Below are 15,736 nucleotides of genomic sequence, written 5' to 3'. Positions count from 1 at the left end.
CCCTGGTACCCTGTTTTTTGTTTGTTTGTTTGTTTGTTTGTTCTGAGACAGAGTCTCACTCTGTCGCCCAGGCTGAGTGCAGTGGCGCCATCTCTGCTCACTGCAACCTCCGCCTCCTGGGTTCAAGCAATTCATCTCCCTCAGCCTTCCGAGTAGCTGGGATTACAGGGGCCCCCTATCATGCCTGGCTAATTTTTGTATATTTAGTAGAGATAAGGTTTCACCATTTTAGCCAAGCTGGTCTCAAACTCCTGACCTCAAGTGATCCACCTGCCCTGGCCTCCCAAAGTGCTGGGATTACAGGCGTGAGCCACCCCGCCTGGCCCCTGGTATCCCTTTCTCATTCCATTTGCCACAGTGGCCTAAGTGTCCCCTGAAGAAGAAGGAATAATCTTTGAAAGTTTCACAAGTTGTGCATCATGCACTTTATGCAATAGGTATATGTAATCAGCAGGAAAAAGGGAAAATAAATTGCTCTGAAGTTTTATAAAAGAGCTCAAGGAATCTTCCCTTTGCATTTTCCCTAGACTTGCCCTTCCCAGTCTCCACCTGAAAGTTATTTCCTTTTTCCACATCTCCACACACAACAAAACCGTGAAATTAGGTAAACTTTCTAACAAGCCTTTTTGAACCGGCTTTTCAAAAGAACTGCCACATGTAAATATATCCTGTCTCACACATTATTGTGCTAAAGAAGAATGTTGAATCCTACAGACTTCCAAGCTGATGTAGTTGCACAGAAAGCAGCGTGTTATACATTACGCTTTTGTACTAAGTCCACTAAGTGAGTCAGGTTTCCTGATTCAGTGCAATCAGGTCCCAGGCTAATGGAGCAGCAGAAGCAGGCAGAGGGTTGTCTGAGGCCAGACCCGCAGCAGGCAGGCTCATGCAGACAGGGGCACCTGGGCTCATCCGAAGCACTACTGCTTCTCCTGGCTGCATGGGAGTCCGGTGATTTTACAGCCCGTTTGGTAGCTAATTCCAGCAAGAGTGAAGGTCTTTGGCAGTTGCCGTCTAGCCTATGCTCTGCTTTTTGTGCTCTACTAAAAACGGTGGCGCTTCTGTCAGAACCTGAGTCCTCATCCTCAGAGTCTGAATTCCTTCTACTGTGAGTGACATGAAGAAAAGAAGGGAAGAGGGAATGAGACAAAGAATTGGAGAAAAACAGAACTACTAAAAATAATGCCGTGCTATGACTATGTATAGAACAGGGCTTTTTAAGATCTAGATCCTCAGGTTTAAATTTAAACAGAAATTCATTTCCATTATATAGGTTCCGCAGATACTAGAGAACTAATTAGACTTTCTCTGTCTCTCTTATTATTATAAAAAACATGCACATAGAACCCCAGCTGGGGTACTGAATGAACACTGGTGTGACAGAAACATGCACAACGACAAACCTGAATCCCTGAAATTCTTTATACCATGGCTTATAAGTTTCCCTTTTTATTCTTTTCCAGTTCACATCTTCTGGGGTCCAACATTTGGGAAGAAACTGATCAAAAGCATTCCCTGGGTTTGGCATGACTGGACTGAGCTTGCGCACATAAAGATCATCCTTTACAATGTTGGGTATGCTTCTTGTCTTTGCTTTTTCCTCTTCCAAATAACAAGAGGACTTTGAAGTTCCTTGTACAGTTGGCCAGTTCTCCACATTGGTGCCCCAAATCCTCCTCTGATTACTGTTCAAAACATCCAACCGGTTAAGACACTGTATGAGCATTTGTGACACAGAACACAAATGGCATGCTTTCTGGTTCACAAAGTTTACACCACTGTGAACAAAGCAAATTAGTTTCCATTCTCATCACCACCACAGCTCCTAGGACAAAGTTATTATAACAGCATCTCATTTTAACTCAAGGATAGCTAGATACACACGGGCCAAAGATACTTCATTAGAAGCTGTGTTAAAAGGAAGAGGCACATAACAAACAATTTGGGGTGTTACTTTCTGAATTAAAATCAGCAGCATAATAGACAGCCAGATCCAGGACAAGTATTTCTGACCTCGTCAGTCCATATAGCCCCATGGCAAACATATCAGCAGGAGAAAATATTTGCGGACAAGAATTAGGATAGGTGATTTTCGAGATGAAATTCTGGGGCCTCTTTTTCACTTGGAATCTACGGTTGGCTAAGTCATCCAAAACTATGTCAGGAAACCTTCGTTCATCCTCAGAGTCCGAACCACTTTCAAAACCGTACGCCTCCCCATGAGAGGAAGCTGGATTTGCAAAACCACACTCTGTTCTGCTAATTTGCTGAGAAATTAAAGGATTCTTTTCATGTCCACTAAGATCAATCAAAAAAGGAAAAACATTACATGGCATGGCTCATCATGAACAATACAAATTATCTGGTAAGCTGAAAAATACCAATAAACTGAAGTCATGCATCTAAAAAAAGACCTAGCAAATCATATGCTGACATTCTAAAACAGAAGAAATGGCTTCAAGATATGTATAACTAAAAATAGAGGGATGAAAAATATTCTCACTAGTCAAGCTTAATATATGATCTATGAAACACATTTAAGAGCCATTCTTTTTACCACATTTAACATCCTACCATATTCGAAAAGCATACGAAACTCAATAATCACACCCATCTCAGTACCTTGAAAATGTTCCATCTGCTTCTGTATAAACCGGGCTTGCCCAACTTCTTCTGTTATCCTCATGTTTGTCTGGCTTTTTCTTTCTCAGAGGTGCTGGTACATAGGATGGCTGTCTACTTTTGTTGGGTAAAAAACGATTGAAGGGTAACGCAGTCTTTGGCTCAACAGCCGAAATCCTTCGATACGACATATCATCTTTATTATAATCCTGCATCTTAAATGTAAATTCCGAATCTGTGTCACTTTCAAAACCTATAAAGAAGGCACAAGAATTTGCTTTACTCTCCAGATTATTCGCCTAACTGAAACCCACACAGCGCGCCTGCTTTGTCTTTCCCTTAGAAACCCAGTGCTGCCACTGCTAACTGCAGGGAATATTTTTAGAAATTTGTCACGAAGTTGTGATAAGATCCATTAGGAGGAACTTGCTTTGCATACTGGAGGCACATGCAGTACATTCTTTTGCTGCTGTAGGCTCTAAGAAGAATAAGTCCTATTTTACTAGTGAGCCCCTTTTTTCTCAATCTCTTCCTCCATGATTTTCCATAAGATTTGTTGATGTAATACATAGAAATAAAATCTAGCAATGGAGTCACAGATACTTAAAACAACATGCAAAAATAATTCTGGGAGAACTCAGTAATTTAAAATAAGGCATGCAGCTATCTATAATATATGTGAGGAGAGAGATCAGGAAGGATGTAGAAAGAGAAGAAAAAAAAAAACAAGCTTGTAAAGGGTCTGGATAGATTCTATAAACCAGAATCACACATTAGATATGAGGCTGGACTGGATGACTTCTAAAGTTCCAAAGGAATCTGAAGTCTTATGCCCAAATGAGAGCACAGAACTCACAGTTTCTTCAGAGTGGCCATGGAAATTATATTGGGAACGCTGTATTATGATTCAAAATCATTTAAACACAAATTCAAAAGAACACCCTTTGATACTCCTCAAGGTCAGATAGATACAAATAGTAATCTGCTTTCTTAAAAGAAGAAGAATGAATCTACTCTTTTAAAGACAAAGGAAGAAAAGGGGGGAGAACAACACTACAGATCCAAGCCAAGCTGTCCCTCTTTCACACCCTTCTCTTCCTGCCTCCTGTGCACTTGTAAAGGTTTGGAAATGTTACTTGCTTCTCACCAGGGTTCTCTCCAGGCCTGGCTGTGCACAGTGCCTGACAGCTACAAGCTCTCAGCAGGTAGAGCACCTGCAGGGTTAACCTGAGTTAAATGCAGTCTCTTCCCCTCCCTCCTGCCTGGCAGGAAGCTACAGTAAATAACACTGAGAACAGTCTACAGGAAGTCGCTTAACATACAGCTATGAGACAGGGACAGAGTAAAAGGAGAGTAGAGTCTTGGCAAAAGAGGGAAAGTAAACGCAGCTGTGACCATGAGGAGTAGTAGTCAATAAACTGGTGCTTTCTTTTTACCACCTTCTAAAAAATCAGACATTTATTTCTCATTTCCAATAAGTATATCAATTACTCCTGCCGAAATCCATACATGTGGAATTTTAAAGTCATAAAGAGACTATTTTACTTTCTAACTTTTAAGAAAAAGTATTTTTTAGCCCAGTACGGTGTCCTGCAGAGAATTTTTTCCCCCAAAGTATCATTCTTGATATGAGTTTTCACGTAAAACTAGAGAATGTGACATTGCAATTCTGTTATCCTAAAAATATTACCCTACATTATAGTGCTCATCAATTTAGGACTACAATCTAGAGAGTAGCAGTAGAATTTTAACACACTGATCACAAAAGAGCTTTATCGGCCTGGTGCCTCCATCCCAGGCTTTTTTTCCCCGCTTAGTTGTAATTTCCAAGACTTCACTTACGCACTCTTTAAACAAGGTCTGCAGCCCCATTTCCAAGATCAGAAAGGGATGTGACAGTGGCCTTCTGCTTTTGGTTACATGGACAGGTGCCCATTCCAACAAGGATCTGAGAAGACGACTTAGATTCCACACCGCTGGGTGGGCCACTGCATCTGAACTGACTGAAGCCTGCATATTCCCACATGCCCTCTATCCCTTCCCCTTTTATTCCTTGACTAGATATAAATTCTGTCATTACATGGAGTAGGTTCTTCAGTAAGGGAAAAGAAATACAGCGGGTTCAGAATTTCAGCCTCTGCTTTTACAGCTTTAACCACTCAGATGAATCACATACTCAGATTCATTTCCTTAAACGTATTGGAATCGTCATCTGGGCTATGAAAATGTCACACCTTGACAGCAAACAGCCAATACGTGTGGCAGTAATTATAAAGGTTAATGCTGAAATAGCGTTTCACATTTTTTATTTTTAAAAACTACTACTCTAAAAGATAAAGCCTTCAGGTTTTTTGTTACCATGCTTAATAAATTGTTGATTGGTTTTTTGGAAAACAAATTCATAGCATGTTGTATTTATATAAGTTTCACATCAGAAGTAAAACAAAGAATAAATTCTAGTTAATGATGTTCATACTGAAGTATTTAGGACAAGTGTGATATATTCTGAAATGCCTCAAAAAATAAGATGACTAAATTATAATAGAGAAAGGAGGGAGGGAGAAAGAGAAAGAGAGAGAGAGGAGAGAGAGATGAGTATAAGATAAAGCATGCATAGTAAAACATCATGGTGGAATTAGGCAGCGAATACATGTGTGTTCGCTGTACAATTATTTTAAGTTTGCTGATTTTTGACATTTTTGTCATAGATATGCTAGGAAAAATATCTAGAAATAGAAAAGTAATATTCCAAATACACAAGCAATGTAAAATCCCTAACAATTAAGCACAAATCACAGCCAGAACTCAATGTTTTCACATTGATGTCGATAGAAGCACAGAAATATTTCAAAAAAAAAACTTCACTTGTGGTTTCAATCTAGTCAAATCTGAATAGCTGGAGATGTACACTCAGAAATTGCTGACGCTATACCCAGTAGCCACAGGAATAAGATGTGCATTGAAATAACTGAACTGACCATAAGCTTGGGATTTTGAAAGAAGGTTCCTTCCCGCAACAGAATGTCTCTAACATGTTCCTTTCACACTTGCTCTGTCCTGGGTTAGCTCTGACTCTGAAAGGACCAAAAGAGGATTTCTACCTGCATGTTAGGTGGTGGTATATTACTCAATCTACAAAGTTTAACATAATATTCTATCATGATAGATAGCAATCATTTCTTCTCATCTATAGAAATAATTGTAAAAATATTTTTCTTTTTTTGCTTAAGAGAGTTTTTTTAATCTTTTGAAAAAAGCCAAGGATGAAAGTTACTCAGAAACTAGAAGATTTTTTTTTTTTTTTGCAGAATCTTATATTCCTTTCTATGTTTAGATATATCAGTTTATAGAACTCTTGAACACAAATTAAGCCTGAATCTGGAGAGAGAAGAGCCAGGATAGATTATCACTGATAAAACAGGCCACAATTAACTGTCACCTCTCAGTCCTTTCCAGAAATGAAATTTTTCAAAAATGAAACTATCACCATCATGAAGGAGAAAAAAATAACAAAACCCCCAATTATACTCCAGTCTCTATGAAAATCCACTTCTAAGTGAAATTTTTGCCTAGTTTTTGCTCCATTTTTCTATTCTCTCCTGTTCCCAGTTCTCCCTTAATATGTGAACAAATAAACTGACAGCCAAAACACAACACACCTTCACGCCCCCCTCTCAACGTGATATCAGAGGAGCAGCTTGTCAATGACCTCGAGCCCAAAGAGTCCAAGCTTTCAAAGGAATCTTCTCTCTTATGGTGCCTTGGAGGAGCAAGAAATTCTCCACGTTCAGGACACCAGATGTCACCGTAGCCACTGTCCCTGCCACTTCTTTTCAGGAAGCTGGAGTCTTCGAGTGCCTAAAGAAAACGTTTTTTAAAGAATAGTAAGTTAAATAAACTTCCAAAAAATATAATCAATCGGTTATTACTTGCTTGTTTGCCTAATTTAAGTTGGGTTTTATTTGACATGTAAGGCATGAGGTTTCTCTGTCGGACACAGCAAAAAGCTGATGAAAAACAGAAAATAAATTTGTAATTGTTTGCCCACAACTGATACAATAAGGGGGTATTCAATATTCAAAGTAATAATAAGGAGATATTCAATATTATTTAATAAACTAGTACATATGTTCTATTTAAAAATAAGGAAAATTACTAGTTTAATGAAAGTTCATAGAGTAACATTGAAATGCTAAACTCAGTTATTACAGTTCTCTAGCAATAAATGTGAAAAGAGTCAAAAAGAAAAACTAACCTTAACTTAGTCATCCAAAAGGAGATAAATCAGCAAGATTATATTCACTCTATCTCCAGGAAATATTTGTGATGGCTTATATAACATAAAACCTTAACAACTGAAGTTAGTTAACTCTCCCCCCAGAAAAATAAAAAGGAGCAAGTGGGCACAAATTTCACAGAATTCATTCACTTTTACTAATTACACAACCTAGTTCTAAGGTCCTGGCAGCTGGCTTATCCTTCTTGTTGAATCAAGGGAAGCATACTTGTTTGCTGACATATATAACTTATTTTCTATGGACCTAAATAAAATATTTGTTTGGCTCATATAAAGGACACACAGGAACATCACAAATGATGTTAACTGTAGGTTTGTGAATTATATAGAACTTACTCAAGATAAGCACTTTTAACTAACATTCTTCTGTGAATGTTAGTGACAAAATATAACCTGGCTTTTTAAACATTAGGATGTGAGTAAAATTTACAAAGCCCATGGTGTAGTCCTGACTTACAGTAATCATGAATATCTCGTAACTATAATTTTTTAATATGGTGAAGATAATTTTGTCATAGTAAAAACCAGAAATGTTACTTTCAGATGAGCTTACTAATACAGAGACAATTTAAAGAACCTAGTAATTACTAACAATCAAACATATGTGAACCTTGATTAAGTCATGATTCAAAATAAAAAGTGCTGTGAAAAGTAGCTGGAGACAAGCATGAAAGTTTTAATGTCAACTGAATATTAGATAATGGGGAATATCTGAATTTTCTTAAGTATAATAAACACTGTAGCTACATAGAAGAATATTCATATTCTTAGGAGATGCATACTGAGTATTTGGGGGAGAAATACATCTGCAGTTTATATTAAAATGGTTAAGTAAAAACATAGATGGATGGATAAACACATATGTAGATAAAGCCAGTATGGAAAATTGTAATAATTGAACCAGACGGTGCATATCTGGGTATTTGTTGTACTCTTCTTTCAACTTTTAATTATAAATATTTTCAACTTATGAAAAAGCTGAAGAGTTTGCAGTGAATAATTAGCAGCTGTCTCAGGCATACTTTTGATCTAATACCGTCAATTCATGATTCAATTGTTTGACAAGTGTCTGGAGCACCAATAAAGTCTAGTAGATTTCAAGGAGATTTCATGTGCTTTAGATGCCGACACCCTGGCATTAGAGTTGACATCCTGTCATGAAAATGCAAGTGCCTACCTTACATCCTGCTACTTCCAAGCAGATGGGGAAGCCAGGCCTAGCGCTGGTGCTGCCAAAATGCTTCTCAAAATACAGAAAGATTTTTTTAAATTTAAGCGTTTAGATCTGTCAGGTTTCTCAAACACGTATTTGTTAAGGCCTTAGAGTTCAACACTCAAGATGGATTTTTGACCTCATAAATGTTAAAGTTATTGATGACAGCCACTTCAGTTATAAAATAACCTTTGGCCCTGGTGCCTGGCTTTTAAGGAGGCACGCTGACAAGTCAATTAAAATGAGTCACCTCCAACTTCCAAGATGACTGACTGAGGTGCTACAACTTCCACCAACGATTGTTTAATTGGTATTTTATGTTAGCTTTTAAGCATTATCTGGTTAAATGGGAAATGCCTGATGAACACATTGGTTTTGATTTTAATAGAACTGATACAAAACATGTGATATAGTCACATACCTCTAACAGCTACCCCCAGTTTATTATAATGGAATGGAACCACAACCTTAGTTTTATACACCATAAGGTCTTCAACTACCTCCTCTGGTTTTGAAACTGGTAACAGGAAACAGCCTTTGATAAAGCATTCCTGGCATAGACACTGTACTAGGATTATTCAACCTGAGTCAGACTGTCATTAAAAGGACCAAAGGCTACAAAGACAGCCCTAGTACATAAGCCAAAGTCCCACATGGTTTTTTGTTTGTTTGTTTGTTTTTGAGACGGAGTTTTGCTCTTGTTGCCCAGGCTTGGCTCACCACAACCTCTGCCTCCCAGGTTCAAGCGACTCTCCTGCCTCGGCCTCCCGAGTAGCTGGGATTACAGGCATGTATCACCACACACAGCTAATTTTGTATTTTTAGTAGAGATGAGGTTTCTCCATGTTGGTCAGGCTGGTCTCGAACTCACAACTTCAGGTGATCCGCCTGTCTCAGCCTCCCAAAGTGCTGGGATTACAGGCATGAGCCACTGTGCCCAGCCCCCCACATAGGTTTTAATCAAAAGTTTTGTTAGCTGAAATAACTGTAAATCAAGGCTCTCCCTGTGCTCAAAGCCCCCTGAAATTCCTCCACTAAAGCCTCACCATTCTTCATTGCAGTGACCAATATGCTCACCTATCTTAGACAATTGTGCTTTATGAGGTTACGTAGTCTCTCATGAGTGTTTTCCTAACACTTAGTACTATGTGTATGCATGTTAATATCTCAGCTATTTCCTGAATTAACTTATTCAAGGAATTTGAATACAGCGTTATTGACTCCTTACATTTTGGGGGTGAACAGGAATACCTGTATCTTCTAGGCTCTATAATCCCACCTCTTGCTATAATACATGTGGCTGGGCTCAGGCAAAATTATTTAAAGATCAGGGTAGGTGCAAGCCAAGGTTATCATGTTCATCCTGGCCTAAAATTTCTTCCAATCACAGCAACTAATATTTATTGCAACCTTACAATGTGCTAGAGGCTAATGCTAAATGCCTTACTGGTGTGGTATCATTTAACCATTAGAGAAACCCATGAAACAATGACTACTAATTAGATGATGAAACACCATTGTGACTACACAAAAGGGCTCTTCTGAGTCCTACAAATTTCCCTGAATAAATATCCCTACCCAGAGAAATTCGTTTTTCCCATGTGGATCTTATAAATGAAGATTTGGCAGAACTACGGTCAGTCCTGGCACTTGGCTCTCTGCAAATGATCCTCAAGCATTCAAAAGGCTGTCACATTGATTGCAAAATATGAATGACTAGAAATGTGTATAAAACAAAAGATTCTAAATTAAAAACCTTACATCAAGTTCCAGTTAACACCATGTCCTACTCTTTAGGAAACAGAGGCGGCATGGTAGAATTGTGGGGATATGAAAGTGTGGGCATTAAAGACTATCATCTATGACAAGAACATATTACTACAAAGAAATTGAGTAAATTCCATGCGCGTGAACAGTCCAGGAAGCACCTCTCTACTACAGGTTGAGTTTACGATGAGTATAGCAATACTTAAGCTACATAAAGTGTGTAAGGAAGGAAGCCAATGCATGTGTCATCAAATTATGTAGAATTAAAAGGTAAGCAAGTTTCTCTACCTTGGAAATTGCTCTGGAATAGACCCAACTGACTCCTTGGTGGTGGCATATAAAGCCAGTAAATGAGTAACATTCCTCTTTACTCAGCCCAATTGATAGTAGGACAAAGAGAGTCGGAGTTGCCATATTTGTTATAGAGGAGAAGGAGAAGAAAAAGAAGAGAGGAGGAAGGGAAAGCAGTGATACTGTATTACAGCAGTAATCTCACACAGATGTAGTTTACTTACCTTCGTCAGTGCTTGTCCTAAAAGATTCTCAAACGCTTTCAAATTAAGATGGGGACCATTATAGTACGGGTTGCTTTGTGCTTTTCTTCCCAGCCAGTACAATGTTATCAAAACCTTAAAAAAAAAAAAATCCATGAACAACAAGATCAGTCGATTAGCAACCAATTGCAAGCTCAAATATAGGTGAGTACTGTAGATAAATGATAGCACATATTACTCTGTAAGTGAAAAGTAGACTTTCTTTTAAGTTTATGGGAAAGGTAAAAGTCATTAAAAATCTTAACTTTTCTTGCTAAATTTTCCTGTCTCTGAGCAAGTTCTCAGACCAAAAGTCCAGACTCCAAAAGGTAGTCATTCATATACTCTACTAGTATATACGAAGAGGGAAAAAAATAAGAGAAAACACAAATGAAACTTTTAAAGCAATCAATGTTTTTTCATCGAACTTACAGAATGATCACCTAAACATCAATAATTCTCAGCTTCCTTAATAAGGATGTTAAACTTTTTAATAAAGCTGCAACATTTTTAGATATTCTTGCAATTTCCATAAAATATTGTAAGACATATGAGTCTACATTGATGAATTACCCAGAGTCCTTAAACAGTCAGTGCTTTTCCTTAAAGTCTAAATTGGTAGTTTCCTATTTACTCCTATAAAAATCTTAAAATGTGTTTACTTGCCTTTAGCGTATTGCTAACACATAACAAACAGCTTCCTAAATCTAACCTATCCTCTTATACCACTCTAACAATATGTTTTTAAATTTAATTTTATTTTAAGTTCTGGGATATATGTGCAGGATGTGCAGGTTTGTTATGTAGGTAAACGTGTGCCATTGTGGTTTGCTGCCCCTATCAAGGCATCACCTGGCTATTAAGTCCCACATGCATTAGCTATTTAACCTAAGACTCTCCTTCCCTCCATCACCTGACAGGCCCCAATGTGTGTTGTTCCCCTCCCTGTGTCCATGCGTTCTCATTGTTCATCTCTAGAATACTATGCAGCCATTAAAAGAAACAAGATCATGTCCTTTGCAGGGACATGGTCAGAGTTGGAAGCCATTATCCTCAGCAAACTAATGCAGGAACAGAAAACCAAATACCACACGTTCTCCCTTATAAGTGGGAGCTGAACAGCCTAACCATATATTGTAATGCATATATTTAAACATATTTACTGTTTGTAACTGATTGGTTTGTAGCAAAAAATTAATTAGAAAAGAGATGTAGAGTATACTTTTAGATTCACTGCCTTCTTACAGAACATGAAAGTGAAAGCCACTTATAATGCTCCATTAAGGTAAATGTATCTTACATTTTTCACTCTCCTGTCAGTCTCTTCTTGCCTGTAAAGAAAGAAAATATCTATTAGGTAATATCCGTGAACCTTAAATTATTAATTATAGCTAGAAAAAAACTCATTTTTATTCTAAAATTCTATGAATATTAATATCACATGGAAGTCCAAATCTCTTAGAGCTCATATTATCTCCATCAGAAGAATTTTTCCATATTCATTGATTTGACAAAAGTATAATGCATTGATTTTCTGTATTCATTGATATGCATTAATATAATTGTCAGTTTTCTATAAAAAGCAGTGCTGTTTTTTCATTTTATTCATTTCAGTCTAATTTTTAAATACATTATGTGCATTTTTTGTATTTCCTTCTTAAACAAGGTTTAAACCCAATGAGGGGGGATCAGTGTGTTCATGAAAAAAGAACTGGGAAATGGGGGGAAAAAAACCTTAAAAACACAATGAAAAATAAAAGCGAGGGGTTTTTTGCACTGATGGGGTTTTTTTTTCATCATCCATAAGGTTTTTCATCCAAGTTCCCCAGAGCAAACTGCTCAGAGACTTTGACCCTGCAAATGTTGAAAAGTGGCAGTTTAAAAAACAGCCATGAACCTCTGCCTGAAGAAACTTCACTGTATTATAAGAATCATGGGTTTTTTGCTCACATATGAAAGGGCATGATACTTATGGGAGAAGTTAAAAAGAGGCAGATGGCACCACAGTGTTGAAGAAGCAACAATATGCTACTTCACAAAGGGATGGGTCATCCTAAAAAGAAAGCACTTCCCCTCATTAGAGACACTTAAGCAGGATCGGTGTGAATTCAGAGACTTGTAGAAGCCTGATTAAGAAAGCTTCTAATTGGCCTGTCCAGTCTAACAGCACAGTAGTATACTTTAAGATAAAATATACACACATCTATATATGCATGTAGAAGACATCAACATAAAACACATATATATTCATATATACAGAGAAAAAGTAAAAAGAGAATGTGAGTACACAGAGACTAATTTTTAACTTAGCTTTCAAAGAATCAACAAGGCAACTAAGACCATTCCTTTCCAGAAAACAAACTTGTACTGAAATGAACCTAAGAAGAGCATGCACCTCTTACCCACCTCCCAAAAAAACATCTCAACAATGAAATTCATGAACTCTCACACTACTGATGGAAATGTAAATTGGTACAACTACTTAAACTCTTAAGTCACTTGGTAATATCTATTCAAGCTAAATACATTGATATTCTATGACCTAATAATTCCATTCCTAGGTATACATCCAACATAAACGCTTATATATGTTAACAAAAAGTTATATACAAGAATGTTTATCACAGCACTATTCATCGCAACAAAAACTAGAAGCAGCGTAGATGTCCTTAACATTATAATGGATAAATTATGGCATATCCACGTAATGAAATATCATATGGCAATGAAAATAACCTTCAACTATATTCAACCACAAGTTCAACCTCTCAAATAATGGAAAGAAAAAGAAGCCAAAAGCAAAAGAGTACAGGCTGTATTATTCCATTCATATAAAGTACAAAGACAGGCTGAATAAAAAAATGCTGTTAGAAGTCAGGGTAGTGGTTACCCTTGTGGGAAGAGAATGACAGAAGAGATTAGAAGAGGATGGGGCACTAGGATGACAATTGTTTGTGCTTCGATCTGGAAGCTGGCTACTCAGGTGTGCTCAGTTTCCAAAAAGTATTTAAGTTGTACATTTGTAATATGTATACTTTTCTGTATATTATCCTTCAAAAAAGTAAACAAGTAGAATAAATTCCACAGCCCATGTGCTCAAACCATAGCTTAACTCTTGAGTAAAAAGAAAATTATCTTATAAAAATCCACAGCAATGGCCGGGTGCAATGGCTCATGCCTGTAATCCCAGCACTTTGGGAGGCTGAGGAGGGTGCATCCCCTAAGGTCAGGAGTTCAAGACCAGCCTGGCCAACACGGGGAAACCCCGTCTCTACTGAAAGGACAAAAATTAGCCAGGCGTGGTGGTGGGCGCCTGTAATCCCAGCTACTCAGGAGGCTGAGGCAGGAGAACAGCTTGAACCCGGGAGGCGGAGGTTGCAGTGAGCTGAGATTGCGCCACTGCATTCCAGTCTGGGCGACAAGAGCAAGACTCCGTCTCAAAAAACAAACAAACAAACAAAAACCCAGCACTTTAACTTAGAAGTGGTAAGTGGGAAAAGTCACTAGAAACTGACAACAAAAAACAGCAGAGTTGCAAACATATAGCCCCTTTTTTGGACTAATAACCAACATACACATGTCAAACATTAAATTAGCCAAAGCACAAAAGAATCATCAATGCACAGGACAAAGAATGCACTGGGCTGAACATCCTCCCACTTTGATCATAAGCACACTCAAGGCAGAAGGAAAAACAGAGCTCTCTTGAACCCCTGACCTCATTTCCACAGTCCTCAAAAAGGTTTCTAATCCAACATACTCATTTGTTTTCACTTTTTATCATGATAAAACAATCATTGGAAATACAAGGGATGTCCTATTCTGTGATAAACACCATAAGCAGTGACCTTCGCATTATTACCTTTTACTCACTTTACATTCCCTTCTAAATATGAGCATTTATAACATGCTCTTGGACATGATACATAGGCCAGCCAAATTAGTGTCCTATCTCTGAAATGCAATGCCAGGAATTCAAGTAGTCAATGATTTGCTGGAGTAAACAGAGTTCACTCTCTCACATACAAATGCATTCCACTGCATGGAAGTCGGTAACCAAGCAGCTCCTTTGCCTGTCATGTGGCCACAGGGCATAACCCAAAGTCCTTTAAAATAGAACTACTGCAATGGTGAAGGGGAAGCTCACAGTAACACAGGTAACACACACACACTCCATGAACCAGCCTACTTACTGCACGACACCTCAGAATGAAATATAAGACAGCCTTAGCTCCAAAGTTGGATAATTTTTCCACAACAAATATGTCCAAAGTTGACATGGTCTGATACCATGTTTAAGTGCCTGCGCTTTGGAGTCAGATCTGGGTCTCACTGTGTTCATTTGGTAATTTACTTGACTCTCAAAGCTTTGATTTCCTTCTGGACAAAGTAGGGATAATGCCCTCTGTTTCAGTAGATTAGAAGGAAATTTCCTTCTAATGGTGAAGTGTTCATCAAGAAACAGACCAGGCACAGTGGCTCATTCCTGTAATCCCAGCACTTTGGAACACCAAGATGGGAGGATCGCTTGAGTCCAGAAGCTTAAAATAAGCCTGGAAAACATAGCAAGACCCTGCCTCTTAAACAATGTAAAAATTAGCTAGGCACAGTAGCACATGCTTATAGTTCCAGCTACTTGGGAGGCTGAGGGCAGAAGGATCTCTTGAATGCCGGAATTCAAGGCTGCAGTGACCTATGACCACACCACTGCACTCCAGGCTGGGTGACAAAGCGAGACCCTCTCTCAAGAAAAGGAAGAGAAGAGGGGAGAGGGGAGAGAGAAGAGAACAAAGAACCCATACCTGCATTGAAACCCAAGTCTGCAATAAAAATGGGTACAGATAAAATGTTAATAGTTTAAAAAAATACCTATCTTGGGTATGATGATAGCCCTTACTCTACACTATGATCAAAGAACAACAACTCTGTGAACAAAGAATTATTACAAGGCTGTAAGCCATGTGATGGCAAGGCCCATCAGTGGACCCCAATATTTAGAACTGCAACTAGCCCACCTGACACACCCAATCTCTCATCCGTGCTTTATTTTTGTATTTATAACCATCTACTATAGGCATTTTTTTCTCTCCTCTACCTGAATCCAAAAGGACTTTTGTGATTTTGTTCACTGCTATATTCCAACTGCCTTAAGACAGGGTCTACCACTTGGCAAGCACATAAAAATATTTGATTAAAAATGCCTCGCACAGTACATGGCAAACAGATGCTCTCAAATTCTGGTTAAATACATTTATTTAACCTATAGAAATGTAAATTAGCAATAAAAAGCCTGAAATGATAAAA

The 15,736-nt window shown here is 38.1% G+C and overlaps 1 protein-coding gene across 56 annotated transcripts in view, besides 1 other annotated feature; it reads right to left on the bottom strand.

The window, feature by feature from the left end:
• The window catches only part of LMO7 (LIM domain 7), a 239,437-nt gene that overhangs the window by 52,707 nt on the left and 170,994 nt on the right, over positions 1 to 15,736 (bottom strand). For 34 of the 56 annotated variants that reach the window (NM_005358.5, XM_047430352.1, XM_047430320.1 and 31 more), the window contains 4 exons: positions 11,733 to 11,763; positions 10,415 to 10,528; positions 6,282 to 6,480; positions 2,623 to 2,875 (listed from right to left, as the gene is read on the bottom strand). In NM_005358.5, coding sequence (NP_005349.3) covers positions 2,623 to 2,875; positions 6,282 to 6,480; positions 10,415 to 10,528; positions 11,733 to 11,763 — 597 coding nt within the window. Of the gene's footprint in view, positions 1 to 902; positions 1,107 to 1,403; positions 1,686 to 2,622; positions 2,876 to 6,281; positions 6,481 to 10,414; positions 10,529 to 11,732; positions 11,764 to 15,736 lie in introns of all 56 variants that reach the window. The other 22 variants (XM_047430323.1, XM_047430307.1, XM_047430308.1 and 19 more) reach the window with 2 other exon arrangements.
• Positions 3,447 to 4,121: an enhancer, noted in NCBI's record as "NANOG hESC enhancer chr13:76377179-76377853 (GRCh37/hg19 assembly coordinates)". NCBI's record gives its function as "activates a minimal SCP1, AML or CMV promoter by ChIP-STARR-seq in naive and primed H9 embryonic stem cells {active_cell/tissue: H9 hESC(naive and primed)}" and the evidence as "EXISTENCE:reporter gene assay evidence [ECO:0000049][PMID:30033119]".

The sequence above is a fragment of the Homo sapiens genome, chromosome 13, assembly GCF_000001405.40.
Source record: "Homo sapiens chromosome 13, GRCh38.p14 Primary Assembly".
Lineage (NCBI taxonomy): Eukaryota > Metazoa > Chordata > Mammalia > Primates > Hominidae > Homo > Homo sapiens.
Note: the sequence above shows the minus strand (reverse complement) of the source record. Positions and strands in the feature narration are given on the sequence as shown.